At 43.7% G+C, this 27,630-nt stretch overlaps 1 long non-coding RNA gene across 1 annotated transcript in view, besides 2 other annotated features; it reads right to left on the bottom strand.

Moving 5' to 3' along the window:
• Nucleotides 1-27,615, bottom strand: part of SPRY4-AS1 (SPRY4 antisense RNA 1) — a 138,762-nt gene extending 111,147 nt beyond the window's left edge. Inside the window, exons 1-2 of the long non-coding RNA NR_120664.1 lie at nucleotides 27,538-27,615; nucleotides 7,423-7,492 (exon numbers count right to left, since the gene is read on the bottom strand). This is a non-coding gene — a long non-coding RNA (SPRY4 antisense RNA 1). The remainder of the gene's footprint in view (nucleotides 1-7,422; nucleotides 7,493-27,537) is intronic.
• Nucleotides 9,430-10,629: an enhancer, noted in NCBI's record as "CDK7 strongly-dependent group 2 enhancer chr5:141721844-141723043 (GRCh37/hg19 assembly coordinates)". NCBI's record gives its function as "activates an origin of replication core promoter dependent on BRD2, BRD4, P300/CBP, MED14 and CDK7 cofactors, with strong dependence on CDK7, by STARR-seq in HCT116 cells {active_cell/tissue: HCT116}" and the evidence as "EXISTENCE:reporter gene assay evidence [ECO:0000049][PMID:35650434]".
• Nucleotides 20,955-21,454: an enhancer, noted in NCBI's record as "H3K4me1 hESC enhancer chr5:141711019-141711518 (GRCh37/hg19 assembly coordinates)". NCBI's record gives its function as "activates a minimal SCP1, AML or CMV promoter by ChIP-STARR-seq in naive H9 embryonic stem cells {active_cell/tissue: H9 hESC(naive)}" and the evidence as "EXISTENCE:reporter gene assay evidence [ECO:0000049][PMID:30033119]".

Genomic DNA, 27,630 nt, shown 5'->3' with positions numbered 1-27,630 from the left:
TTTTAAGCCTCAGTTTCCTCTTCTCTGAAATGGGAATAATATTACTTATATAATATGTAATATTTATATAATATAGATAATATTTATATAATGTAAATGTATAATTATAATATTCTATATATAAACATAATACAGACCGGGCACAGTAGCTCATGGCTGTAATCCCAGCATTTTGGGAGGCCAAGGCGGGCAGATCACCTGAGGTCAGGAGTTGGAGACCAGCCTGGCCAACGTGGCGAAACCCTGTCTCTACTAAAAATACAAAAAATAGCCGGGCATGATGGCGGGCACCAGCTACTTGGGAGGCTGAGGCGGGAGAATCGCTCAAACCCAGAAGGCAGAGGTTGCAGTGAGCTGAGATCACACCACTGCACTCCAGCCTGGGTGACAGAGCAAGATTCTGTCTCAAAAAAAAAAGTATATATATATATATAGAGAGAGAGAGAGAGAGAGAGAGAGAGTATATAATATAATAATATACTATATAATATATGTTATATTATTATGTTATATATTATATTAATATATAATTATATATAACATATATTGTATCAATATGTAATTAATATAACATTAATTATATATTGTATCAATATGTAATTAATATAACATTAATTATATATTGTATCAATATGTAATTAATATAACATTAATTATATATTGTATCAATATGTAATTAATATAACATTAATTATATACTGTATCAATATGTAATTAATATAACATTAATTATATACTGTTTTAATATGTAATTAATATAACATTAATTATATAGTATATTAATATGTAATTAATATAACATTAATTATATAGTATATTAATATGTAATTAATATAACATTAATTATATAGTATATTAATATGTAATTAATATAACATTAATTATATAGTATATTAATATGTAATTAATATAACATTAATTATATACTGTTTTAATATGTAATTAATATAACATTAATTATATGTAATTAATATAACATTAATTATATGTAATTAATATAACATTAATTATATGTAATTAATATAACATTAATTATATGTAATTAATATAACATTAATTATATGTAATTAATATAACATTAATTATATAGTATATTAATATGTAATTAATATAACAATTATATGGTATATTAATATGTAATTAATATAACATTAATTATATGGTATATTAATATGTAATTAATATAACATTAATTATATGGTATATTAATATGTAATTAATATAACATTAATTATATGGTATATTAATATGTAATTAATATAACAATTATATGGTATATTAATATGTAATTAATATAACAATTATATAGTATATTAATATGTAATTAATATAACATTAATTGTATAGTATATTAATATGTAATTAATATAACATTAATTGTATAGTATATTAATATGTAATTAATATAACATTATTGTATAGTATATTAATATGTAATTAATATAACATTAATTGTATAGTATATTAATATGTAATTAATATAACATTAATTGTATAGTATATTAATGTGTAATTAATATAACATTAATTGTATAATATATTAATGTGTAATTAATATAACATTAATTGTATAGTATATTAATGTGTAATTAATATAACATTAATTGTATATTATATTAATGTGTAATTAATATAAATATAATATATAATTATATAAATTATATAATTATATAAAATATATAATTAATATATTAATATATAATATGACATAATTATATATTATATAATGAGATTATATAATATATAATATATAACATTATAATATGTAATATATTATAATAATAGTACTTACCTTACAGAGGTGTTGGTGAGAATTAAATTAGCTAATACAGGAAAAGCCCTTAGCTCTGAACCTGGCACACACGGTAAGTGGTATGTAACTAACAACAACAAGATCCAAGAAGGTGGTAAACTGTACCTTACAAATAAGAATAAGGAAGGTGACTGAGTTAAGTGGCTCATCAACACTGACATACCTACTAGTTTACACATCTCAAATCGAAATCTGAATCTTGGCCTCCAGAATGACAGGTCCTCCAGAAGACCTGTGTCTACCAAAATCCTACATGGTTGATCAATTACTTCATTAAAAAATTATCGCCTTCAGGCCGGGCGCAGTGGCTCACGCCTGTAATCCCAGCACTTTGGGAGGCCGAGGTGGGTGGATCACAAGGTCAGGAGATCGAGACCACTCTGGCTAACAAGGTGAAACCCCATCTCTACTAAAAATGCAAAAAATTAGACGGGCGTGATGGCGGGCACCTGTAGTCCCAGCTACGCTGGAGGCTGAGGCAGGAGAATGGCGTGAATCCGGGAGGCGGAGCTTGCAGTGAGCCCAGATCACACCACTGCACTCCAGCCTGGGTGACAGAGCGAGACTCTGTCTCAAAAAAAAAAAAAAAAAAAAAAATTATCACCTTTATCTAAAATCATTTAATAAGGCCCTTTTTACCTACTTACATATGCCCTAGTGCTAGCCACTGTACAGATTGAAATAGATGAAATTCTTTCCTTCCATTCATCTGGAGCCTAGTCACCTTTATTTTTTTAACTTTTATTATCATTCAAATGATTTGGGCAATTTCATCATATACTACATCCTTTCCAAGGCATGCAACCTGACCATAAAATAGAAAATTAGTGCTTCAATAACAATAATTTATACAGAAAATTTTCCTGAAAATAACACATAGACTCTTTTCCTTGGCCTTTGTATTCAAACAAAGATGAAAGAACTAAGCTGTTAAAAAGCTAAGCTGTTATTCTTTATCTATTCTTGTTTCAATTACTTTTTCTATGACAAAATAGAGTTGTCTTATTGAGACTGCAATTCAGAATTCCAAGTTCTAGTCTTATGAAAACTTGGCAAATCAAAGAGTTTGAAAGTTATTTTGTGCTTTGTAATAAATTTAATTTGCAATGTGTTTTGTTTAATATAAATATTTCTGCATCAGTAGTTACAGAACCATTTCCTTCACTGCATTTTTCAATTTTATTTTTAATTGACATAATAATTATACATATTTATAGATACAGTGTGATATATTGATACATGTAAACAATGTGTAATAATCAAATCAGGGTAATTAGCATATTCATCACCTCAAACATTTATCATTTCTTTGTATTGGGAACATCCAAAATTGTCTCTTCTGGCTATTTGAAAATATATAATAAGTAATTGTTAACTGTTCTCACCCTACAGTGCTACAGAACACTAGGACTTGTTCCTCCCATCTAGCTGTAATTTTTTTTTTTTTTTTTTTTTGAGACAGAGTCTCACTCTGTCACCCAGGTTGGAGTGCAGTGGCATAATCTCAACTCGCTGCAACCTCCACCTGCCAGGTTCAAGCAATTCTCCTGCCTCAGCCTCCTGAGTAGGTGGGATTACAGGCGTCCATCACAGTGCCCAGCTAATTTTTGTATTTTTAGTAGAGAAGGAGTTTCACCATTTTGGTCAGGTTGGTCTTGAACTCCTGACCTCAAGTGATCCACCCACCTCGGCCTCACAAAGTACTGGAATTATAGGCGTGAGCCACCACACCCAGCCTAACTGTAATTTTTTTATCCATTAACCAACCTTTCTCTATTCCCTTTACCCATTACCCTTCCCAGCTTCTAAGAACCACTCTTCTACTCAACGCTTGTATGAAGTCAACTTTTTTACCTCCCACATATGAATGAGAACATGTGGTATTGATATTTCTGTGCCTGGCTTATTTCACTTAACATAATGTCCTACAAGCTTATCCATGTTGCCACAAATGACAGGATTTCATTCTTTTTTTATGGCTGAATAGTATTCCATTGTTTATTTATAGCACATTTTGTTTATCCATTCATTCCTTGATGGACACTTAGGTTGATTCCATATCATATCTTTTTTTTTTTTTGAGTTGGAGTCTCGCTCTTGCGCCCAGGCTGGAGTGCAGTGGCGCCATCTGGGCTCACTGCAAGCTCTGCCTTCCGGGTTCACGCCATTCTCCTGCCTCAGCCTCCCGAGTAGCTGGGACTATAGGTGCCCGCCACTGCGCCCGGCTAATTTTTTGTGTTTTTAATAGAGACGGAGTTTCACCTTGTTAGCCAGGATGGTCTCGATCTCCTGACCTTGTGATCCGCCTGCCTCAGCCTCTCAAAGTGCTGGGATTACAGGTGTGAGCCACCACGCCCAGCCTGATTCCATATCTTAGCTCTTATGAATAGTGCTGCAATTAACATAGGAGTACAGATGCCTTTTTGACGTACTGATTTCCTTTTCTTTGGATTAATACTGCAGTGAGATTGCTGGATCACATGGTAATTCTATTTGTAGTTTTTTAAGGAACCTCCATATCATTCTCTATGATGGCTATACCAGTTTACATTCCTGCCAATTGTTTATAAGAATTCCCTTTTCTACTCACCCTCGCTAGCATTTGTTGTTTTTTGTCTTTTTGATAATAGTCACTTGAACTGGAAGAGAAGATACTTCATTGTGGTTTTATTTTTTTGAGACGGAGTCTCGCTCTGTCACCCAGGATAGAGTGCAGTGGCAAGATCTTGGCCCACTGCAACCTCCGCCTCCCAGATTCAAGCAATTCTCCTTGCCTCAACCTCCCAAGTAGCTGGGATTAGAGGCGCCTGCCACCATGCCTGGTAATTTTTGTATTTTTAGCATTTTTAATAGAGACAGGATTTCGCCACGTTGGCCAGGCTGGTCTTGAACCCCTGACCCCAGGTGATCCACTCACCTCAGCTTCCCAAAGTTCTGGAATTACGGGCATGAGCCACCAAGCCCAGCTTTCATTGTGGTTTTAATTTGCATTTCCCTGATGATTAGTGATGTTGAGCATTTTTTCTTTATTATTATTATTTTTTTCTTGAGACAGTCTCACTCTATGGCCAGGCTAGACTGCGGTGGCATGATCTCAGCTCACTGCAGCCACCAACTCCTGGGTTCAGGCAATTCTCCTGCCTCAGCCTCCCGAGTAGCTGGGACTATAGGTGCATGCCACCATGCACGCCTGGCTAATTTTTTGTATTTTTTAGTAGAGATGGGGTTTCACCATCTTGGCCAGGATGGTCTTGATCTCCTGACCTTGCGATCTGCCTGCCTTGGCCTCCCAAAGTGCTGGGATTACAGGTGTGAGCCACCGTGCCCGGCCTTTTTGACACGGAGGCTTGCTTTGTCGCACAGGCTGGAGGGCAATGGCGCAATCTTGGCGCCACTACCTCCTGGGTTTAAGTGATTCTCTCTCTCAGCCTCACAAGTAACTGGGATTACAGGTACATACCACCACAGCTGGCTAATTTTTGTATTTTTAGTGGAGACGGGGTTTCGCCATGTTGGCCAGGCTGGTCTTGAACTCCTGACCTGAGGTGATCCGCCTGCCTCAGTCTCCCAAAGTACTGGGATTATTACAGGCATGAGCCATTTGTCTGTCTTCTTTTGAGAAATGTGTATTCAGATCATGAGCCCATTTTTAATCTGATTATTTGGTTCGTTATTAGGTACTTCGTATATTCTGGATACTAACCCTTTGTCAGATGAATAGTTTGCAGATATTTTCTCTCATTCTGCAGATTACCTCTTTACTCATGACTGCTTCCCTTGCTGTACAGAACCTTTTTAGTTTGATATGATCCCATTTGCCTCTTTTTGCTTTTGTTGCCTGTGCTTTTGAGGTCTTACCCATAAAATCTTTGCCCAGATCTGAAGCATTTTCCCTGTTTTCTTCTAGTAGTTTCATAATTTCAGGTCTTACATTTAAGTTTTTAATCCAGTTTGAATCTATTTTTGTGTATGGTGAAAGATAGGGGTCTAGTTTCATTTTTCATTCATTTTTCTGCATATGGATATCCAATTTTCCCAACACCACCTTTGAATCTTCCCCAAGCCTTTTGAAACAGCAATTCTTTTTTTTTTTTTTTAAACTTCGTCCTCCTTCTCCAATCTAGTTAAGAGAAGGAAACTTTCTGGGGATATGAGGTTTAAACTGATGGACCATTAACAGCATAACAAAGCAAAAGGAATTTTCCGGGTCACCAGCCAACAACTTTAGAGTAGTATTTAAAATTCACTTGCTTAGTGGGGAGGGAAAGCACTTGTTCAGGAGAGGGTGGGGAAAGGATTTCTCCCAGCTGATGGGGAACTGGAGAATGCCCTCTTTTTGGCCAGGAAAACCAGTGAACATCATAACATAGGGCTTGGTTTGTGTGCAGATCTTTTACCCTTGTAGATACAGATTACAACGCAGATTTTGGAAAGAAAATGTCTGTCTGCTGAAACCATAAATAAAAAGTTTCTTTGGCTTCAGATTTAGGGAACACCTGGATCCCTGCTCTGGCTTCAACCCTGATTTGCTAGAATATAACATACCCATAAATTTCTTCTGAGCCCACTGAACACACACACAGACACACACACACACACACACACACAGACATGCACACACACACACATTTATACAGATATTGCCTTATTCCAGCTGTGGCAGCATTTTGCAGAAGAAGAACGTTGGCCATATTGTCTTTCCCCCACCTCATTTTGCATTTCTAAAATGTATTTGCTGGCAGTCTGGAAAGTCAAAAGCAGCTTTAGCAATTAAGTGGTAAGCAGAGCTGTTCTAGTAGAAATGTTCTAGGGATCACTTTTGCTCCTGAAGGAAGAATGACCAATAGAGTCTTGCTGAAATTCAGTAAGAATTTCACCTCCCTATCATACCCCTCCCACAGTGTATTGCTCCAGGAACTTCCATAAACCTATGACCACTTACATAGACCTTAAAATTCCTATAACCTCTTGATCCCAGGATTTTCTGGGGGCCCTGCCAAATTGCAGAAGGCTGTTTAACTAGTGTTATACACATTTCAAGGTCTTTCTAGTATAGTGGCTTCTAGACTTTTAAAAAAGCAGCAGAAGCGTTTTAAAGGAATGCAAAATATGAAAACGAGATTAAAACTATTGTTTCCGGTTGAAGCCAATCACAATGTTGCTCAAAAGGGGTCCTAGGAAACAAATCACAATTTTAGAATATCATTCTTTTTTTTTTGAGACTGAGTTTCGCTCTTGTTGCCCAGGCTAGAGTGCAAGAGTGCAGTGGCACGATCTCGGCTCACTGCAACCTCTGCCTCCCGGGTTCAAGCAATTCTCCTGCCTCAGCCTCCCAAATAGTTGGGATTACAGGCATGCGTCACCACGCCTGGCTAATTTTGTATTTTTAGTAGAGATGGGGTTTCTCCATGTTGGCCAGGCTAGTCTCGACCTGCTGACCTCAGGTGATCTGCCCACCTCAGCCTCCCAAAGTGCTGGGATTACAGGTGTGAGTCATCACGCCTGGCCTAGAATATCATTCTATTATGACTTTAAGTAATTTTGGCATTTAATGGAGTTCAAACTCCTTACTATGCCTATACAACACTTTTGATCCAGCCCCTGCCTACCTGAGCTCATGCAGTTATTCTCAAGTTGTTTACTCCTTGGTTTTGTTGGTACAAATCTTCTACTAGCTTCCTGGAAAGAGATACACAGAAGTAAGTATCAGCTCACTGCAACCCCCACCCCCCAGGGTTCAAGCAATTCTCCTGCCTCAGCCTTCCGAGTAGCTGGGATTATAAGGACGCATCACCACACCTGGCTAATTTTTGTATTTTTAGTGGAGACGGGGGTTTCACCATGTTGGCTAGGCTGGTCTCAAACTCCTGACCTCAGGTGATCTGCCCGTCTTGGCCTCCCAAAGTGCTGAGATTACAGATGTGAGCCACTGCACCCTGCCTGTTTTCATATTCTGATGGATAGTTTTGCTAGGTATAAAATTCTAGATTTTTTTTTTTTTAGCTTCATTTTTTTGTTGTTGCTACATTAATAAATGTACATATTTTCAGGGTACATGTGATAATTTCATGTATTCATATAATCAGGTCAGGGTAATTGGGATATCCATCATCTTAAATACTGATATTTTCTTTTTGCTTAGAACATTTGATTATTTTCTTCCAGCTATTTTGAAATGTACAATTGGTTGATGTTAGCTATAGTCATCCTACTGATCTATTGAACACCAAGTCTTATTTCTTCCAAGTATATACTTGTCCCCATTAATCAACCACTCTTTATTTCCCACTCTCCCCTACCATTCCCAGCCTCTAAATTATAAATTGTTCCTTGACACCACCTCCTCTGTTCCTCGATAAGCCTAGGCTTCTCCAGTGTCCAGGTCTTTAAACTAGAAGGGTTTTTTTCCCCCCGCAATTGAACACATATCCCCATCCTCACCCTTATACCGGTGTAGCTAACACTTCATTATTCTTATCAGGGAAACTTCCCTTCCTGTCACCTCTCCTTCCAAGGCTAGGTGGATATGCCTCCAAGGAGATCGCACAACACCTGGTGCTTATCCTCTTCATATGCTCATTTGTCATATCATTACCACCTGTTAACTTGTCTGTGTCCTCCACTCAATTGTGAGCACGACAGCTGAAAATTCACAGCCATAGTGCCACTCAATAAATATTTATAGAACAAATAAATAGATTAATGGTCACAATAGTATTTTTTATTAAAAGATACAATCTATAATAAAATGTTTGACAAATGCCCTTACCAGTTGGTGCATGCTCCAGACTTTAGGGCAGAGAATAGGATTGCTTTAGGGGGAAAAAGTCACTTTGATATTAGGAGCATAGAAAGAGTTCTTACGAATTCTTGTTCTAGTCTTTACCATCTTGGGAAGAAAGGGGGTTTGGAATGAAAATTGAATTCATCAGCCAGTTGTGGTGGCTCACGCCTATAATCCCAGCACTTTGGGAGGCTGAGGTGGGCATATCACGAGGTCAGGAGATCGAGACCATCCTGGCCAACATGGTGAAACCCCATATCTACTAAAAATACAAAAATTAGCTGGGCGTGGTGGCGCACACCTGTAGTCCCAGCTACTTGGGAGGCTGAGTCAGGAGTATCACTTGAACCCAGGAGGTGGAAGTTGCAGTGAGCCAAGATCACACACCTGGAGATTCTCACACCTCCAGCAGATCTCCCCAGCTTTAAACTCCTGACCTCAGGCGATCCATCCACCTTGGCCTCCCAAAGTGCTGGGGTTACAGGCATGAGCCACAGTGCCCGGCCTTGGCTATTATTTTAATAGACAATTCAATCCCTGTTTTTGGAGCTGAACTTTGGCCTTGACTTTGTTTTATTCTTTCTGTCACTGATCAGCCTTGCAAATAGTGATTTCCTGCCAGTCCCTGCCTCTGTGACCAACCTTGATTGTTCAAAGTATAGCTCTGCAAGCAGTGGCTACGGACAGTTTCCAACATGCAAGTTCATCTCCGACCCCACTTCATCATTCCTCCTGCCCCCAGCACTCCTGGATGCTATGCTGAATTGTTTTGGTACCTTTGGTTTGTGAGCCTTCTTAAACCTTTCTTTCTTCTACTTTATTATTATCATTGTATTATAAAAGCAATAGATGCTCATTACTTTAAAAAATGTAAAAGTACAGAAGAGTGTAAAGTGAAGAGTAAATGTCTCACTCCCCACCCAAACCCCCATTCCTACTCTGAAAGTAAGCCAATTCAAGTTAGCAGTTTCTCATGGGCATTTCCGGAAATCACCCATGGCTACACAGAAGCATATACACACTTCTGCATATACACATATGCACTGTTCTGTGTCTTGCTTTGTTCTCTTAACAGTCTTGAACACCTTTTTGTATCCACACCTAATAGATCCACCACACACTGCTTAATGACAACATAGCTTTCCTTTGTAGAGATCAGCCATTGTTGATCTCCTCCGTCCCCTACAGGTGGACACTTAGGTTGTTACTACTAAAACATTACGATAAACATTCTTGTATACAAATCTCTGTGGACTCCTTCAGTTTTAAAATTATTTGATTGCCAAATTAGACCAGAATGACCAGAAGCATTTCTTTAAATGTGGTTCTGCCTCCCAAGTTCTCCACCTATACACAATGTTCAGTCCCTGGGCCCACTGACTCACTCACTGGTCAGCAGCACAGCCACCTACGTCCTCATCTCAAAATAGAAGAAAGGTCACGGGATGCTTCCTTGTGATCCCACTCAATAGGTGTTCACAGAAGCCACATATCTCCCTTTCTCTGGAACCACAGGGGAAATCCTGGGCATTTGGGAATCGAATTTCAGAAAGCGGTTGTGCTCTCAAGTACCCTTGAGGAAACCCCAGAGGAGGAAGGAAACGCCATTTTTGGTTCCTGAGACACAATCCCAGGTGTTTTCAGTGGTGCTGGGACGGGTGTGTGTGACAGCAACGACAGTAGCTGAAATGGACTTCAGGCGGTGGCTGGGAGGAGGTGAACACAGGCCTCTCATCAGCAGTGACTTGGCACTATTGTCCCGGCCCACATCCGTCCTCAGTGCCTGTCCTTTCTCAGGCCAAGGACGGGATGGGCAGGCAGGAACTGGGACTGCTTATCCCCAGCTCGTCCTGACTCATCCACAACTCCAAGCAGCCACTGACTGTGCCCTGGGAGAAGCCTTAGGGGCCTGGGTGAAGACAGAGCTGGAAAAGGTGCCCCTGGGCTGTGTCCAACTGGCTTACTGATCACTCTGTGACCTGCAGTGAGTTTCCGAACCATCCTAAGCTTCAGTTAGCCCATTTCCCCGTTGGTATAAAAGCCACACCAACAGCCCCCGTCTTAGACTGTCCTTGAGAGCAGGATGTACACCAAGTGCTTAGCACAGGACATGGTGTTACATAAGCAGTCAATAAATATTTGATATTTGCTTCACTGACGTTTCCCTCTGGCCTAGCCTAGCATCCAACTTAGAGTAGGTGCTTAATTAGAATTTTTTTTTAAAATAAGTGACTGAATAAACAACCTCTTTCTTTCTGGAGGGCAGACAGGAAAATTGCAAAATGGCCCCCAAGGCCTCTCTAACTTCCTATGTCACCCCATTCTTTTCTTTATGGCTGTGGCAGATTAGTGACAATGTGGTTTGGTTTGTTTTTCTCTCAGTTCTTTCTTCTTTGCCTCCCTCCTCCTCCTCCTCCTCCTCCTCCTTCTCCCCCTTCTTTTCCCTCTCTCTCTCTCTCTCTGGCTTCCCAGGAGAAAACATATTCTATTCTTCCTGGCTCATCCTCAAGACCCAGTTGCATATGATGAATAGTAAGTTCAGGGTCAGGGTCCTAGAATGCAGCCTTTACCTCAGAGTTTCTAAGGAGAAACCAAGTCCCAGAGCCATGGAATATTAGAGGAGTGAGGAACAGAAGTGCATTGTATTCACTCAGTGAACCTCTACAGAGTATCTCCCACTTCGACTTCGGCTTCCCCTGTGCTCCTCACCACGCTGGCTTGGCCTCTGCCTCTGCTGGGAGGGCTTCCTCGTAGGTAATCCTCAGGGAGTGCTCATTGCTAAGCCCCTCTTTCCTCCATTCTTACCCCTCACAACCTCTCTACAACACTAAACACTTGATATCCCTCTCCTAGCACCTTTCTCCTCCTTCAGTTTCTCTGGGGGACTCCCACTTTTTTTTTTTTTTTTTTTTTTGAGACAGAGTCTCGCACTGTCACCCAGGCTGGAGGGCAACGGCGTGATCTCGGCTCACCGCAACCTCTGCCTCCCTAGTTGAAGCAATTCTCCTGCCTCAGCCTCCTGAGCAGCTGGGATTACAGGCGCCCGCCACCACGCCCGGGTAATTTTTTGTATTTTCAGTAGAGACGGGGTTTCACTATGTTGGCCAGGCTGGTCTTGAACTCCTGACCTCATGATCCGCCCACCTCAGCCTCCCAAAGTGCTGGGATTACAGGTGTAAGCCACTGCGGGATCCCCTTTTTTATCATCCTCCGCACTCCCCTCTCAGTTTCTGCTTCTTGTCTCCTGTTATGAGCTGAACTGCATTCCACCCAATTAATATGTTGAAGTTCTAGCCGCTACCAACTCAGAATAGGACCATATTTGGAGATAGATCTTTAAAGAAGTAACTATGATAAAATGAGGTCACCAGGGTGAGCCCTAACCCAATATGATTAGTGTCCTAATAGTAGCAAGAGAAAATTACAACACAGAGCAAGGGGAGTCCACGTGAAGACACAAGGAGAAGACAGCCACCCCCAGGCCAAGAAGTGCAGTCTCAGAAGACACCAATCCTGTCAACACCTTCATCTCAGACTTCTTGCCTCCAGAATTGAGAGAAAATACATTTCTGTTGTTTAAACCACCCAGCCTGTGGTACTTTGTTATGGCAGCCCTAGTATTAAATGTGGATTTGAACCCAGTATGGTCTAGCCTCAAAATTTTTTTTTTTTTTTTTTTTTGAGACAAAGTCTCACTCTGTCGTCCAGGCTGAAGTACAGTGAAATGATCTCAGCTCACTGCAACCTCCGCCTCCCAGGTTCAAGCGATTCTCCTGCCTCAGCCTCCCAATTAGCTGGGATTACAGGCACGTGCCACCACGCCCAGCTAATTTTTGTATTTTTAGTAAGGACGAGGTTTCTCCCTGTTGGCAGGCTGGTCTTGAACTCCTGACCTCAGGTGATCTGCCTGCCTTGGCCTCCCAAAGTGCTGGGATTACAGGCGTGAGCCACCATGCCCGGCCTCAAAACTCTTATACTACATCATTCTACTCCTCTTTCTCTCTGCAAAAATGTAAAGGAATTTGTTCAGTTTCTGATAGTATGGTAGCCATACTATCAGATGGCCTTCCGAATAAAAAAAAAAACACAGACAAACATTGAATGAAATCTCTCTCTCTTTTTTTTTTTTCAAAAATGCATTGCTGAACTGGCAGAAAAGTAAGGAATATTCAGAGACCAACAAAAGAAATGAAAAAGGGAATTCTGAAACATAAGTGAGTGCACAAGACAGCTTTAGATTGAGGATGTCTGCTACAACTTGATGACTTGAAGCTTCCATTTTGATTAACACAGCAGGTGAGGGGGACAGGAGACAAAGTTTCTTGCACAAGGAGCTCTGCTGCCCAGGCTGGTCGTGACGTACTGGGCTCAAGCAATCCTCCTGCCTCAGGCTTCCCAAAGTGCTGGGACTACAGGTGTGAGCCACTGTGGCTAGTAGGAGTTCCTAATAGGAATAAACCCCAGTAAATATAGCTGTTAAAAGTAAATATAGGCCAAGGTGGGCGGATCACTTGAGGTCAGGAGTTCAAGACCAGCCTGGCCAACGTGGTGAAACCCTGTCTCTACTAAAAATACAAAAATTACAATGGGTCATGCCTGTAATCCCAGCACTTTGGGAGGCTGAGGCAGGTGGATCACGAGGTCAGGAGTTTGAGACAGCCTGGACAACATGTTGAAATCCCGTCTTTACTAAAAATACAAAAATTAGCTGGGCGTGATGGCACATGCCTATAATCCCAGCTACTTAGGCTGAGGCAGGAGAATCGCTTGAACTTGGGAAGCAGAGGTTGCAGTGAGCCGAAATTATGCCATTGCCCTCTAGCCTGGGTGATGGAGCAAGAATCTGTCTCAAAAAAAAAAAAAAGAAAATTAGTCAGGCGTGGTGGCACACCCCTGTAATCACAGCTACTCAGGAGGCTGAGGCACGTGAATCTGGTGAACCCGGAAGGTGGAGGTTGTGGTGAGTCAAGATCACTGATTTCAGCCCATACCTCAAAGAAATGCCCATAAAGTTTCAAGAAACTTGAGCCTAAAGTTAAAATCACAAAACACACAGGAAATAAGGCACCATGAGCGAGAACCAACAAAAACAATAGACAGCATCATCAGACCCACAAAAATAAGAGATATAGAAATGATCAAGCACAGAATATAAATAGGTATATTTACTATATTTCAAGAAGTAAATGTGAGGCTTAAATACATGAGCCAGGAGCAAAAGGCTGTAAAATAACTAAGCCAATTTGGAAAAAACAAAACAAAACAAAAAAACCTAGCATGGTTTAAATGGCAGATTAACAGACTAAACACTTTTTGTTTTTGTTTTTTTGAGACAAGGTCTTACTCTGTTGTTGCCCAGGCTGGAGTGCAGTGGTGTGACCATGGCTCGCTGCAGCCTTACCTCCCAGGCTCAAGCAATCCTCCCATCTCAGCCTCCTGAGTAGCTGGAACCACAGGTGCATGCCACCATGACCAGTTAATTTTTTAATTTTTTGTAGAGATGGGGGTCTCGCTATGTTGCTCAAGCTGGTCTTGAACTCCTGGGTTCAAGCAATCCTTCTGCCTCAGCTTCCCAAAGTGCTGGGATTACAGGGTGAGCCACCAGGCCCAGCCTAAACACTGTTAAAGGCCGAATTCATTTACTGGAAGATGGATCTGCAGAAATCTAGAATGTGACCCAGAGACACAAAGAGATTAAAAAAATACAAAGAGCAACATATGTGACATTGGAAGATAAAACGAGAGTTCCAATACATATTTGTATTTAATAAAGAAAAGAACAAGGAAGAGGAAGTATTTATATAGAATAGGACAGAGACTAGAGTGAGGTAAGTGATATGTGTAGACTACAAAATTTAATGTAGACACTCACTCTCAGGGCCAGGCTTATATTTACACACGCTCCATAATGAGCACATCCTTAAATTTTGCGCCCTAGGTTCACACTAGTTATGGCCTTGAGAATTTTTACAAATTGTTGTAAAACACCAAACTCTGGGTCCAGAAATTCCAGGGGTCCAGGATAAAGAAAAAAAAGTTCACATCTAGATATATTACAGTGAAACAGCAGAGGGCCTGGGACAAATACATATCACTTTTGTTTTCTTTGTTTTTTTTTAGATAAGATCTTGCTTTGGCCGGGCGCGGTGGCTCACGCCTGTAATCCCAGCACTTTGGGAGGCAGAGGCGGGAGGATCACGAGGTCAGGAGATCGAGACCATCCTGGCGAACACAGTGAAACCCCGTCTCTACTAAAAATACAAAAAAAAAAAAAAAGATCTTGCTTTGTCCCTCAGGCTGGACTGCAGTGATGGGATCACAGTTCACTGCAGCCTCAAACTCCTGGGCTCAAGGAATCCTCCCACCTCAGCCTCTTTTTTCTTTTTTTTTTGGACAGAGTCTGGTTCTATTGTCCAGGCTGGAGTACACTGGCATGATCTCAGCTCACTGCGACCTCTGCCTCCCGGGTTCAAGTGATTCTCCTGCTTCAGCCTCCTGAGTAGCTGGGATTACAGGCACCCACCACCATGCCCAGCTAATTTTTATATTTTTAGTAGAGATGGGGTTTCACCATGTTAGCCAGGCTGGTCTCGAACTCCTGACCTCAGGTGATCCACCCAACTCAGCCTGCCAATGTTCTGGGATTACAGGCGTGAGCCACCGTGCCTGGCCCACCTCAGCCTCTTGAGTAGTTGGGACCACAGATGCATCCCACTATGCCCAGTCAATTTTTATTTTATTTATTTATTTATTCATTCATTTTTTATTTTTTAAATTTATTTTTTGAAATGGAGTCTCGCTCTGTCGCCCAGGCTGGAGTGCAGTGGCGCGATCTCGGCTCACTGCAAGCTCCGCCTCCCGGGTTCAGCCATTCTCCTGCCTCAGCCTCCCGAGTACCTGGGACTACAGGTGCCTGCAACGGCGCCCGGCTAATTGTTTTTTGTATTTTTAGTAGAGACGGGGTTTCACCATGTTAGCCAGGATGGTCTCGATCTCCTGACCTCGTGATCTGCCCACCTTGGCCTCCCAAAGTGCTGGGATTACAGGCGTGAGCCACTGCGCCCGGCCAATTTTTACTTTTTGTAGAAACAGGGTCTTGCTATGCTGCCCAGGCTGTTCTGGAACTCCTAGGCTCAAGCAATCCTGCCTTCACCTCCCAAAGTGCTAGAATTACAGCCGTGTGCCACTGTGCCTAGCCCAGATCAATTTTAATTTTTATTTTATTTTTTTGAGATGGAGTCTCACTCTGTCACCCAGGCTAGAGTGTGGTGGCGTGATCTCAGCTTACTGCAACCTCCGCCTCCTGGGCTCAAGCGATCCTTTCTGCCTCAGCCTCCTGAGTACCTGAGACTACAGGCAAGAGCCACCACAAGCCGGCTTTTTGTTGTTGTTGTTGTTGAGACGGAGTCTTGCTCTGTTGCCCAGGCTAGACTGCAGTGGCGCTCGGCTCACTGCAAGCTCTGCCTCCCAGGTTCACGCCATTCTCCTGCCTCAGCCTCCCAAGTAGCTGGGACTACAGGCACCCACCACCATGCCCGGCTAATTTTTTTGTATTTTTAGTAGAGACGGGGTTTCACCGTGTTAGCCAGGAGGGTCTCGATCTCCTGACCTCGTGATCTGCCCACCTCGGCCTCCCAAAGTGCTGGGATTACAGGCCTTGGCCACCACGCCCAGTCTAATTTTCTTATTTTTTGTAGAGATGGGGTTTCGCCATGTCGTCCAGGCTGGTCTCAAACTCCTGGACCCAAGCAATCCTCCTACCTCAGCCTCCCAAAGTGCTGGGATTACAGGTGTGAGCCACCGTGCCCAGCCCAGATCAATTTTTAAAAAGATACAATTAGACTCACTGCATACTTCTTAGTAGGCACAACGGAAGCTGGAATTCAGCAGAATGGTATTTTCCTCATTGTGCTGCAGCAAAACAACTAGCAACCAAGAATTCTATTCAAGAATTCAAATATGAAGATGAAATAAAGTCATTTTCAACCCAATAAAAACTAACAGAATTTACTACCAACAGACTCTTACTAAAGGAAATTCTAAAGAATGAATTTCAGGCAGAAGGAAGTCTATCTTAGACATATGGTCTTATAACAAGGAACAGTGAAAAAAGAGATTGGTAGTTCTGTGGGTCAATGTGAGCAACATTTGACTGTATAAAGAAACAATAATACTGTCTAATCTGGCCTAAGGGAAGAAAAAAAAGAATGAAAACACCGGACTACAGAATATAAACGTGTATATGTGTTGAGGTAAAGGGAGAGGGCAGAGATTGAAGTTAATGCAATTTAAGAGTCTTGTATTCAGGTTTTATTTGTTTTGTTTTGTTTTTGTGGGGGATGGAGTCTCGCTCTGTCACTCAGGATGGAGTGCAGTGGTGCGATCTCTGCTCACTGCAACCTCCACTTCCTGGGCTCAAGCCATTCTCCTGCCTCAGCTTCCCAAGTAGCTGTGATTACAGGACGCGCCACCACACCCAGCTAATTTTTGTATTTTTAGTAGAGATGGGGTTTCAGCATGTTGGCCAGGCTGGTCTTAAACTCCTGACTTCAGGTGATCTACCCTCCTTGGCCTCCCAAAGTGCTGGGATTACAGGCATGAGCCACCGCACCTGGCCAGGTCCTTGTATTCTTTAGGAGGATAGAAACTGTGATTAACTTTTTTTTTTTTTTTTTTTTTTTTTCAGACAGGGTCTTACTCTTGTCACCCAGGCTGAAGCGCAGTGGCATGATCTGGGCTCACTGCAACCTCCGCCTCCCAGGTTCAAGTGATTTTCCTGCCTCAGCCTTCCGAGTAGCTGGGACTACAGGTGCCTGCCACCACGCCCGGCTAATTTTTGTATTTTTAGTAGAAACAGGGTTTCACCAGGTTGGCCAGGCTGGTCTCGAACTCCTGACCTCAGGTGATCTACCCACCTCGGCCTCTTAAAGTGCTGGGATTACAGGTGTGAGCCACCACCACGCCCGGCCTGTGATTAACTTTTTAAATATCTAGAGGATCCACTAAAAGAAGAGATGGAGAGACTGTAACTTACTAGGCAATCAATGGGAAAAAAAGAGATGGTTAAAAAAAAAAAAAAAGCCCAATCCATAAGAAGACAGGAAAGTAGAAAGAAACACAAGAATAAAACCAGGACAAAGAGAAGAGAATAAGATAGAAGGAAATCTGACTAATTTAATAATTTTCAATACTCATATTAACGCAAGCAATCTGAAATGTACTCCACTATATACCCCAAGAAGCTTATCCACTGTAGCGAAAATAGAGAAAAGACAAAGCTTGTCCAACTTGCTAGGAAACAAAATCCAGCAATACATGTGTATCACAAGCAAAACAAAGGAGTTAGGGTAAGTGACTGCTAAACTTTCCTCCTGTTTTTTTCCAGCCTATATAATTTCTCCATAAAGTCAAGCAGAACAAATTTGTTCATTTGAGGAGAGGTCATTTGATAAAGAAACTATTTACAAACATAATAGACATACTTTGCAGAGTGTAGGGAAACTACAGGGATGGTGCAGCACCCTGGAACCAGGAACAACAGGGTTCCACTGTCACTCCTAGAACTGAAGGGGCAGTGTGGGGATGGGCAGTTACCAGAACCCATTGTGGTCCTTGCAAGTCATTCTTCACTCTGTGGCCAGAATGAGCTTTTCAAAATGCAAATTAGATCTTGTCACCCCCTAACACAAATACTTACACACATATCCATGGCTTCAAATCCTTTAATAGTAACCCATTGTCCTCAAGAAGCATAAAAGTGCAGATCCTTGAGAGAGCCTCCAAAGCCTTTTGTGATCTGTCCTCAGCATGGGCCCTGTCCCCCATATTTCTAGCTCTTCGTGGGACCAGGGTCCACCTCATTTTCATCCCCGTAGTCACACTGGTCTTTTTGCATTTCCTTGGATTCACTGTGATCCCTCTAGCCTCAAGACCTTTGCATATGCTGTCTTCTGCCTGCAATATTTCTCACTCCACCTTCCAAACCCCACTTAATACCACTGATCTTTTAGCTCTGAGCTGAAATGTCGCTTACTAGAGAAACTTTTCCAAACTCTGTCTTCATTATATACCTTTAGAACATTACTGCCTCTCCTGCAGAAGACTTATTGCTGTTGTCATTTTCTACTTATATTTATGCAATTAATTTTTCTTTTTTTTTAGAGACAAGGTCTTGCTCTGTCACCCAGGCTGGAGTGCAGTAGTACAATCATGGTTCCCTGCAGCCATGAACTCCTGGGCTCAAGGGATCCTCCTGCTTCAGCCTCCCAAGTAGGTGGGACTACAGGCACACACCACCACACCTGGCTAATTTTTTAATTTTTTGTAGAGATGGGGTCTTGCTATGTTGCCCAGGCTGGTCCCAAAGTGCTAGGGTTAGAGGTGTGAACCACTACACCTGACCATACTTGTGCAGTTATTTGATGCGTGTACGTCCCACTAGATTGGAAGCTCCATGAGGGTGAGAATGGCAGCCTTTTTGCTAACTGCTATACAGTGGCTGGCACCTAGCAGAAGCTCAGTAAATACTGATGAATGAAGGAATGAAAAATCCTCACCAGGTGTAAAGCACTTTGTCCAGAAACAAATACTATATACCCCAAGAAGCTTATCCCAGTTTCATTACACAGCTTGCAATCATTCATTCACATATATATTTTTAAATTTAAATTTATTTTGTAGAAACAAGGTCTTGCTATGTTGTCCAGGCTGGTTTTGAACCCCTGGGCTTAAGCGATCTTCCCACCTAGGCCTCACAAAGTTCTGGGATTGCAGGTGTGAGCCACTGTGCCCAGCCCATTCACATATTACTCACTTTCCATTTCTCTGGGTCAGAGAGAATTCAAGGCAGCTTCCTTCAAGGGCCTCTCTGAAACATCAAAACAGCCCCTGGGCTTTTAATGACATGAACATTGTGGGAGAACCTCCAAGTCAGCGATGGCAGATTGGCCAGGTATCCCAGCAAACCTGGTGGGCACTCAAGGTGGAGGATAGGGAGCCTCTCCCCATCTGGGCCCGTCAGACCCAGAGCGAAGGCAGCTGGATTGAACAATCAATCAGGAGCCTTTCCAAGGGTCCTAAATGGTGGCTGGGGCCATAGGCAATGGCACCTAAGTGACTGAGTTCCAGACATTTTGGCAAAGTGGGGCTGAAGGAGTTTAGTTGGTTCCAGATGATTGCTAATCATAGAGAAAACCCTCTGCTTTAAAATTCACACTTGGGAAAAGGACCAAAAGCATTTCCTTTGATTAACAAAATCTGCATCCTGTTCTCTGATTTGATTGACTTTACACGTGGATGGTAATAACTATGCCTTGGCTTCCTATCCTTAAGGAGGATGAAGATTTTTAGGCTCTTTAAGGGCATCGATAATAACAATAATAACAGTAGGCCGGGCACGGTGGCTCACACCTGTAATCCCAGCACTTTAGGAGGCCGAGGTGGGCAGATCACGAGGTCAGGAGATCGAGACCATCCTGGCTAACATGGTGAAACCCTCGTCTCAACTAAAAATACAAAAAATTAGCTGGGCGTGTGTGGTGGCACGCGCCTGTAGTCCCAGCTACTCGGGAGGCTGAGGTGGGAGAATTGCTTGAACCAGGGAGGCAGAGGTGTTATAGTGACTGCACTCCAGCCTGGGTGACAGAGCAAGACTCAGTCTCAAAAAAAAAAAAATAATAACAATAATAATAACAGTAGCAGCAACTAACATATACTGAACATCACTCTGTGCCAGGCTCTGTGCTAAGTTATTGATTTTATATATATAAAATCTCTTTTAAATCTTTGTGGAAATCAGCTCATATTGGTCCCCTGCTGAAAACCATTCAGTGATTCTTCATCGATCTTAAAATGCAAACTATTAACCACGGCCTTCAAGGCCCTATGACCTGGCTCTGCCTATTTCTACTGCCTTTCTCAAACAGCCCTCTCCCTTGGCTACTTAGCTCCAACAAAATCAACCTTCCTTCTGCTCCTCACATACACCACGCTTGTTTCTGCCTCAGGCCCTTGCACCAGCTAGCCCTTCTGTGTAAAGCGCTGTTCCTTCATTTGAGTCTCAGCTCAGGCATCACCTGCCTGATTTCCCTACCACCCTCACCTCCTTGCTTGACCACAGCCCCCTGATACCTCCAGAGCATGTATCACTATCTGAAATGATCTTAATTATTTGTTTAACTACCATCCCTCTCCCCTAACTAGAATGTACGTTCCACGAGAGCAAAGCCTTATCTGTCTTGTTCACTTCTGAATTCTCAGTGCCCGAAACAGAGCCCAGTAGGCATTCCATAAACATTTCTCAAATAAAGGAATGGGTGGAAGACCCAATGAGATGAGTGCTCCCGTATTTACACTATTTGATAGATAAAGGACCTGAAGCTTAGTGACATTAGGTGACTTGCCTGAAGTCACAGAGGTAGTAGATAGGTAGAGGAGATGAGAGAGAATCTAACCCAGGCCAAGCTGACTCCAAGACTTGTGCGCTTAATCACTACACAAACTGAGATTCATCCCATGAGTCGTGTCTCAAGGGATGGTCAGGCTGGTCTCAAACTCCCGACCTCAGGTGATCCGCCCACCTTGGCCTCCCAAAGTGCTGGGATTACAAGCGTGAGCCACCGCGCCCAGTGGATGTTTAAATTTTATATGCTCCCCTCATTAGACTAAGCTATTTGAGAGCAAGGGATTCCTCTAACTCATTCATTGTTGTGTCCTTGGGGTCTAGCATGCTGCCTGGTATCTAGAAGGGGCTTAAATACTGGTTGAATGAATGAATGACCAAATGAAGTGGCATGAATGGAGGCCAGAGTAGTAAAGGTGGCCCAAAGCACAAATGTCAAGTCAGAAAGACAGGCCCAGCCGCCATCCCTCCCATGCAGTGTGAAAGCCAAGATCAGGCCTCCAAAAAGTCACTGATCCAGATGAGTCCAGGTGGGCATTCCTTATCCCTGTGCTTCTCCTGAGGGTCCCATTCTTTTATATAAAGGACACAGACACTTATGAGGTGTTTACTGAACCACCCTATGGAGTTGGAATCATCATGCCCATTACATAAATAAGATTGAGGCTCTAAGTGATCAGTAACTTGCCTAAGATCTCTAAACAAACTAAGTGGCAGTACCCTGGGCCAAGTCCGTTTATGGAGTTCCCAAAGCCAGAGCTTGTCAACCACTGTCACATCTGAGTGTTCAAGGTTACCAGGGAATTTCTGTGATTTGCAAGCAAGGACTAAGGAGGTTACTCCTGGCCACTGGTGGGGTTGTGTTTTTTTTTGTTTTTTTATTCTTCATATTCACTGCTCACAATGGCTGTTCTGGATTTAGCTCTCACATCTGAAATGGACAGTGTGCTTGCATTTAAATGTGAATTTCAACAAACGCAAATTTGAACTGTGCCATAGAAATTCATGAGTGAAAACCAGGGTCTTGGAAGAAGGGCAGGGAAAAGGAAACTAGTGACCTGTGTTACCATAGCCAAGTTAAAATCTTTAACATCTCCCTGTTACACAAAACAACTAGAAGACCACAAAAATAGCTACGCACCTGGCTCTGGGCTAAGTTACTTGAAAAGCATCATGCCATTTAGTGCTTACAGCAACCCTCTAAGTAGATGCTATGTATATTCCCTTCCTACAGTCAAGGCCTGAAGAGATTAAGAATTATGCCAAGTCACCAAGTGCTTAACATGTCCCCCCCCCCGCCATACAGATTCAAGAGAACCAACAGCATACACATTCAGCCTTATATCACACTACCTGTTACCACTGAAACTCTTCAAACAAGGGTTGATCTTGGTTAAAATCAACCCTTTGGTCAACCATTTAAGGTAGCCAACCACACAATTAAAAACACATTTTTTTTTTTTTGAGACAGGATCTCACTCTGTCACCCAGGCTGGGGTACAATGGTGCCATTTTGGCTCATTGCAGCCTAGACTTCCCGAGCTCAGGTGATTCTCCCACCTCCACTTCCCAAGTAGCTGGGACTACAGGCACGCGCCACCATGCCTGACTAATTTTTTGTATTTTTAGTAGAGACAGGGGTTCACCATGTTGCCCAGGCTGTTTTTGAACTCCTGGACTCAGGCAATCTGCCAGCCTCAGCCTCCCAGAATGTTGAGATTACAGGCGTGAGCCATCGTGCCCGGCCTCAAAATGCTTTTGTCCTGCAAAAACTGTTCTAGTTAAAACATTGATGACAACTGCAGTATAATTGTTTTAACTTTTTATTAATAAAGACTTTAAAAAAATTTTTAGATTGTTTTTCTGAGTTCTTGATGCACCCAGATAAATGAGCTTCTGTTGAAATTCTAACTAATTCTTTGCAACAAAACAGTTGCATATGTTGAATAATTATCTAATATGTATTAGCTCAATCACGGCTTACTGCAGCCCCAACCTCCCTGGCTCAAGCTATCCTCCCACCTTAGCCTCCTAAGTAGCTGGGACCACAGACGTGTACCACTACACCCAGCTTTTTTTTTTTTTTTCTTTCTGTAGAGATGGGGGTGTCTCCTTATGCTGCCCAGACTGGTCTTGAACTCCTTGGCTCAGGTGATCCTCCTGCCTCCCAAAGCACTGGGATTACAGGCGAGCCTGGCTTGGGCACTGTTCTAAGTGCCTTATGTTCAATACCCCATTCAAGTTCCGCTCAACCCTTTGTGGTAAGTACTACTATCAGTTTTCATTTTATAGAGGGGGAAACTGAGGCACATAAAGTTTGAATAACTTGTCTGAGACTATGGAGCATGTAAGGGCAGGATTTAACCCTAGCAATCTGTAGGCAGTGTCTGTCCATCTGTCTTTCAAGCTGTCCAGCCCAAAGCTGAAACAGCTGAAACGCTGAACCGGAAAGCTTAGGAGGTAGTGCCAGGCCAGAGTTCTAACCTCTTGTTCTGACACATCGTCTCTTCCTCAAAGGACTAGGGTCCCCAAGGCTCTTTCCTGGTTCTGGGCCTTCTACCACTGAGCTCAGCCTGGCTGAGTCTGAATTCTGCAGATCTGAGTTCTGGGGAACCTTCTTGAGGGCCTCAGGCTGTGCCCCCCTCCTCTGCTCTCTGTACTTTGTATGCACTGCTGATGTTAACTGTAATTAAGTGATTCTTTGATCAACTATTTGTTTAATGTCTATCTCCCGAACTTGACTATAAATGGTAGGAGTCCAGAATTTCTACACAGGTGGAAGGAAATAATCTGTTTGGGTAGGGGGGCCTTTGCTTCCATTGCATAATACTTACTAAGGTTGAGAAATGTCAACTGAACACAGAAACGAATGGGGGTTCTGATGGAGATTGTAGGAAGAAAACACATGCCATCCTCACCTCTCCATGCCCTCCCTGTGGCATCACCACTGTCTATAAGCCCTATAAGAGCAAAAATTGTGTCTGTCCCTTTTCTCACTATAACTGTTAACAGCTGGCACTATGCCTGAAACATAAGAAGTGTGTCACAAAAATAGCACGCAAAAAAACAATTTTTTGTGGAATAAATAAAATTTTAAAATGGAGCCTTGCACTTCTGGTCTGCAAAAGAGGGGTGACACAATCAAGACCCATTTTTTTTTTTTTTTTTTAGACGGAGTCTCGCTCTGTCACCCAGGCTGGAGTGCAGTGGCGCGATCCCGGCTCACTGCAAGCTCCGCCCCTCCAGGTTTAAGCAATTCTCCGTCTCAGCCTCTGGAGTAGCTGGGATTACAGGCGCATGCCGCCACGCCCGGCTAATTTTTTTGTATTTTTAGTACAGACGGGGTTTCACCATCTTGGCCAGGCTGGTCTTGAACTCCTGACCTTGTGATCCACCCACCTCAGCCTCCCAAAGTGCTGGGATTACAGGCGTGAGCCACCGCACCCAGCCAAAGACCCAGCTTTTTGAAACAATTTTACATATGAAAACATGCTGCACATACAACTGGCATACAGTAAGTGCTCCAGAAGTGACTGTCATTGAATTGGAATTCCTGCCTCTCCTCAATCCCACTAACTCCAGGTCCTAGCAAGCCTAGGAGATTAATAAAAGAACAAAGCTCAAAACTGAACCTACTCTACTCCCCTGGCCACAATCTGGTGGGAGTGACGCTGTTTTTATTGGAATCAGGGTAAAAGATTGTCATTAGCCCTGGCAGGAATGCAAGGTTGTTAGGATGTGCCTCTAGCAGGAAAGTTATACCTGGGGAAGACATCGAGTAGCTTTGGAATGAACAGAGTCAGATGAAGCAGAAAAACAAATCCAGCACAGACCTACCGGCCACCCAATCCTAAAGAAGGAACATGATGTCTTCACCCTGCAATGGAGCAAATGCTCTGCATTCCCCAACCACCTTTCGTTCTGTCCCCTCACCCCCTAAACTGTGGCCCCAGGGCTGCTGGAGAGGTTTAAAACACAAATCAGAATGTGTCAGACCTTGCTTAAAATCCTTAATGGGATGACATCTGAATTCCTCACCAGGCTCACTTCAAACTTGCTCATAAAGCTGTGGCCACAGAGGCCTTCTGTCAGTGCCTCTAATATGCCAGGCTTTTCCCACACACGGCCTCCACCCATGCTCCCTCTGCCTGAGATGTTTCTCCAGTCCTCCCTCAGATTCACTTCTCAGTCTTTGGGTCTCAACTCACAACTAGAAGCCGCCCTCTCAGAGACATTCCCTGATGACCAAATCAGAATCAGCTCCTTCCACCATCCCCCACCTCCCCGGCAAGCAACATACCCCAGAGAAAGCTCATTTCCCTCCTAGCACTTAGAACCTCATGTTGCAGCCTGTCTGTCTGTCTTTTCAAAAGACTGTGAGCTTCACAAGGGCAGGGAGGGCTGTCTGTCCCTCACCACTGAGTCTCCAGAGTCAGGGCAGGCCCCACTACAGAATCGATCAATGAATGAGTGAATGAGTGAATGAATGAATGAATGAATGAATGAATTTTTCATAACTGCTGCTCCAAACCATTCCTCAGCTTAGGTTCCAAGCACAACCAGAATATGACCTCCAGAGCCCTTCTAGACGCTCTGAATCTCGCTGTACTTAAGCATCAGAGGCCCCTCCCAGCTCAAGACTGGGAGCTCCTCCTTCTCCCCACCACAGGCTGGGGTCTCCTCGCATTCTCTTTCAGGGAAGCTGAGAAAGACTATGAAATGTAATCCTGTCTGTCTCCTGAGTTTCTCTAATAAAGAAAACAGGATAGCAACCCCCCTCCCCGCGGCTCCTCCAATCCTCCTTTTCTGCCATAGATTTAAGATTTATTTATTCCCATCCTTCTGACTGTTTCAGCAAGGGCCATGGGTGAGCACCAGCTGGAAAATTACTGCTTCAACTTTCATTGTTTAAAATGCTTAAATGACATGCGAGAAACAGGTTTTTAGGTCTGTGATGCTGAGAAGGGTTGGTAGCAAAGTAAAGCCAGGTTGCAAAGACCTAGAAAATAAGTGCTACAATTTACCAGCTCTTCCATATACCCGGTGCAGGACCCTTGGCCTCAGTTTCTACAGCTGACAGAGAGGGCGATACTGAACTTCAACAGCCTTAAAAGGAAGTCCTGGACAACTGTACCCATTTTTCTGGCGAAGAGTTCTCTTGGTCTTAGAGAAAGGTCTCGCCCCTGAAAGGAAGGCTGAGGTTCCCTAGGGGAGAGTCTGCTCTGCCCTCAGGAGCTGGGTAAGTACACGGAGGGGTGAGCCGAATGGTGAGAAGGCATTTTAGGCTAGGACTCGGTGACCTTGGGCTGCCTGCCTCTAGAGTCCCAGCCCCAGCCCTAGGCCAGACCTCAGCCCTGGGCTGGGAGCCTTTCATTGGTTCCTCTGACAACAGCCAAGCACAATCCTATAGTGGCGTAGGAAGAAAAAGACTGCCACACAATCTCCCCGTGCGGCCAGAACAGCGGCAAGACAGACCTTACAAGGGACTCAGGGCCAAGCCCTGGCCCAGACTCTGCTCTTATCCACGCATCAAAGCCACCCCCCGCCCCGGACTTCCCGGAGGCTACAGGCTCCTCCGTTCCAGGGAGGAGCAGGGCCTGCTGCGAGGGCTCCCCGCCTTCCTGGAGTCAGGCCTAATGGCGGGGGCTTTTCTTTTCACCGGCTTGAGCTGATCCTCACCCCCGCCCCCCAACGCCACCATCATTAACAGCGAAGAAAGGATCCCCAGCCATTTCCATTTCCTCTGCGGCTCAAGAGCCCCGTTGTTATTTAATCCTGAGGCCACCCCGGCAGCATCCTCGGCGCAGCCGGCTCCACCCATCCACCTGGCCAGTTCTCGGCCGCTCCCACTTCCCCGGAGGGGAGGCCGGTGAGAGGTGGGGGATATTGGGGAAAGGCGCCTACAACAGCGAAGGGCCGTGGGCCTTCGGTGGACCGAGGCTCCTCAGGCCAGCGTCCTGTGAGGGCTGGGAAACCGACTGGGACAGAGAAAGGACACCTAGCTAGGGCGACAGAGAGCGGGCAGACGCCCGGGCACTGCGGACATTGCACTGGGGCGGGGGGCGGGGGGAACGCTGGGAGGCGAGGGCCAGGCTTCCTCTGGCTGAGTTGCCAGAATCGCCCCGGGGGGTACTGGAGCCGGAAGAGGCCTGGGCCCAGTCACTGTCTACACCCAAGAAATGGGGGGAGGGGCGGCCAGCACTCACGAGAGATTCAGCCTCAGGAAAAAGAACCAGATTCACTCACCAATCCTCACCCCACCCTTTGATATGAATGATGGACATTTTCCTAATTTTTGGTAAACGCAGCTTCAAGACCCCTCCCGCCTGGCGTCTCTGGTCTAGAGCAAGAGAAGGCCCCCAGTAGGGGTCCTCCCGCCCCCCCTTTTGACTGCCTGCGGGGGGCAGAGATCCCCAGATCTAGGTGTGCCCTCCACCACCCTGCTCTCAACCCGGGATCCGGAGGCCGCAGCGTCCCCCACCCCCCAGCGACACTGACGGTTCCTGCCCAGGCCCGCAGTGGCGTGAAGGTGGCCTTTACCTCCTCTCGCAGGCTGGGAGGGGGTGCAGCCCGCGCAGCTGGCCCAGCTGCAGCAGTCGCCGCCGCCCTCCATTCATTAAAAAAAAAAAAAAA

The sequence above is a fragment of the Homo sapiens genome, chromosome 5 (genome assembly GCF_000001405.40).
Source record: "Homo sapiens chromosome 5, GRCh38.p14 Primary Assembly".
In the NCBI taxonomy this organism is placed as follows: Eukaryota; Metazoa; Chordata; class Mammalia; order Primates; family Hominidae; genus Homo; species Homo sapiens.
The sequence above is the reverse complement of the archived record's forward strand: the minus strand, read 5'-3'. Positions and strand labels throughout refer to the sequence as shown.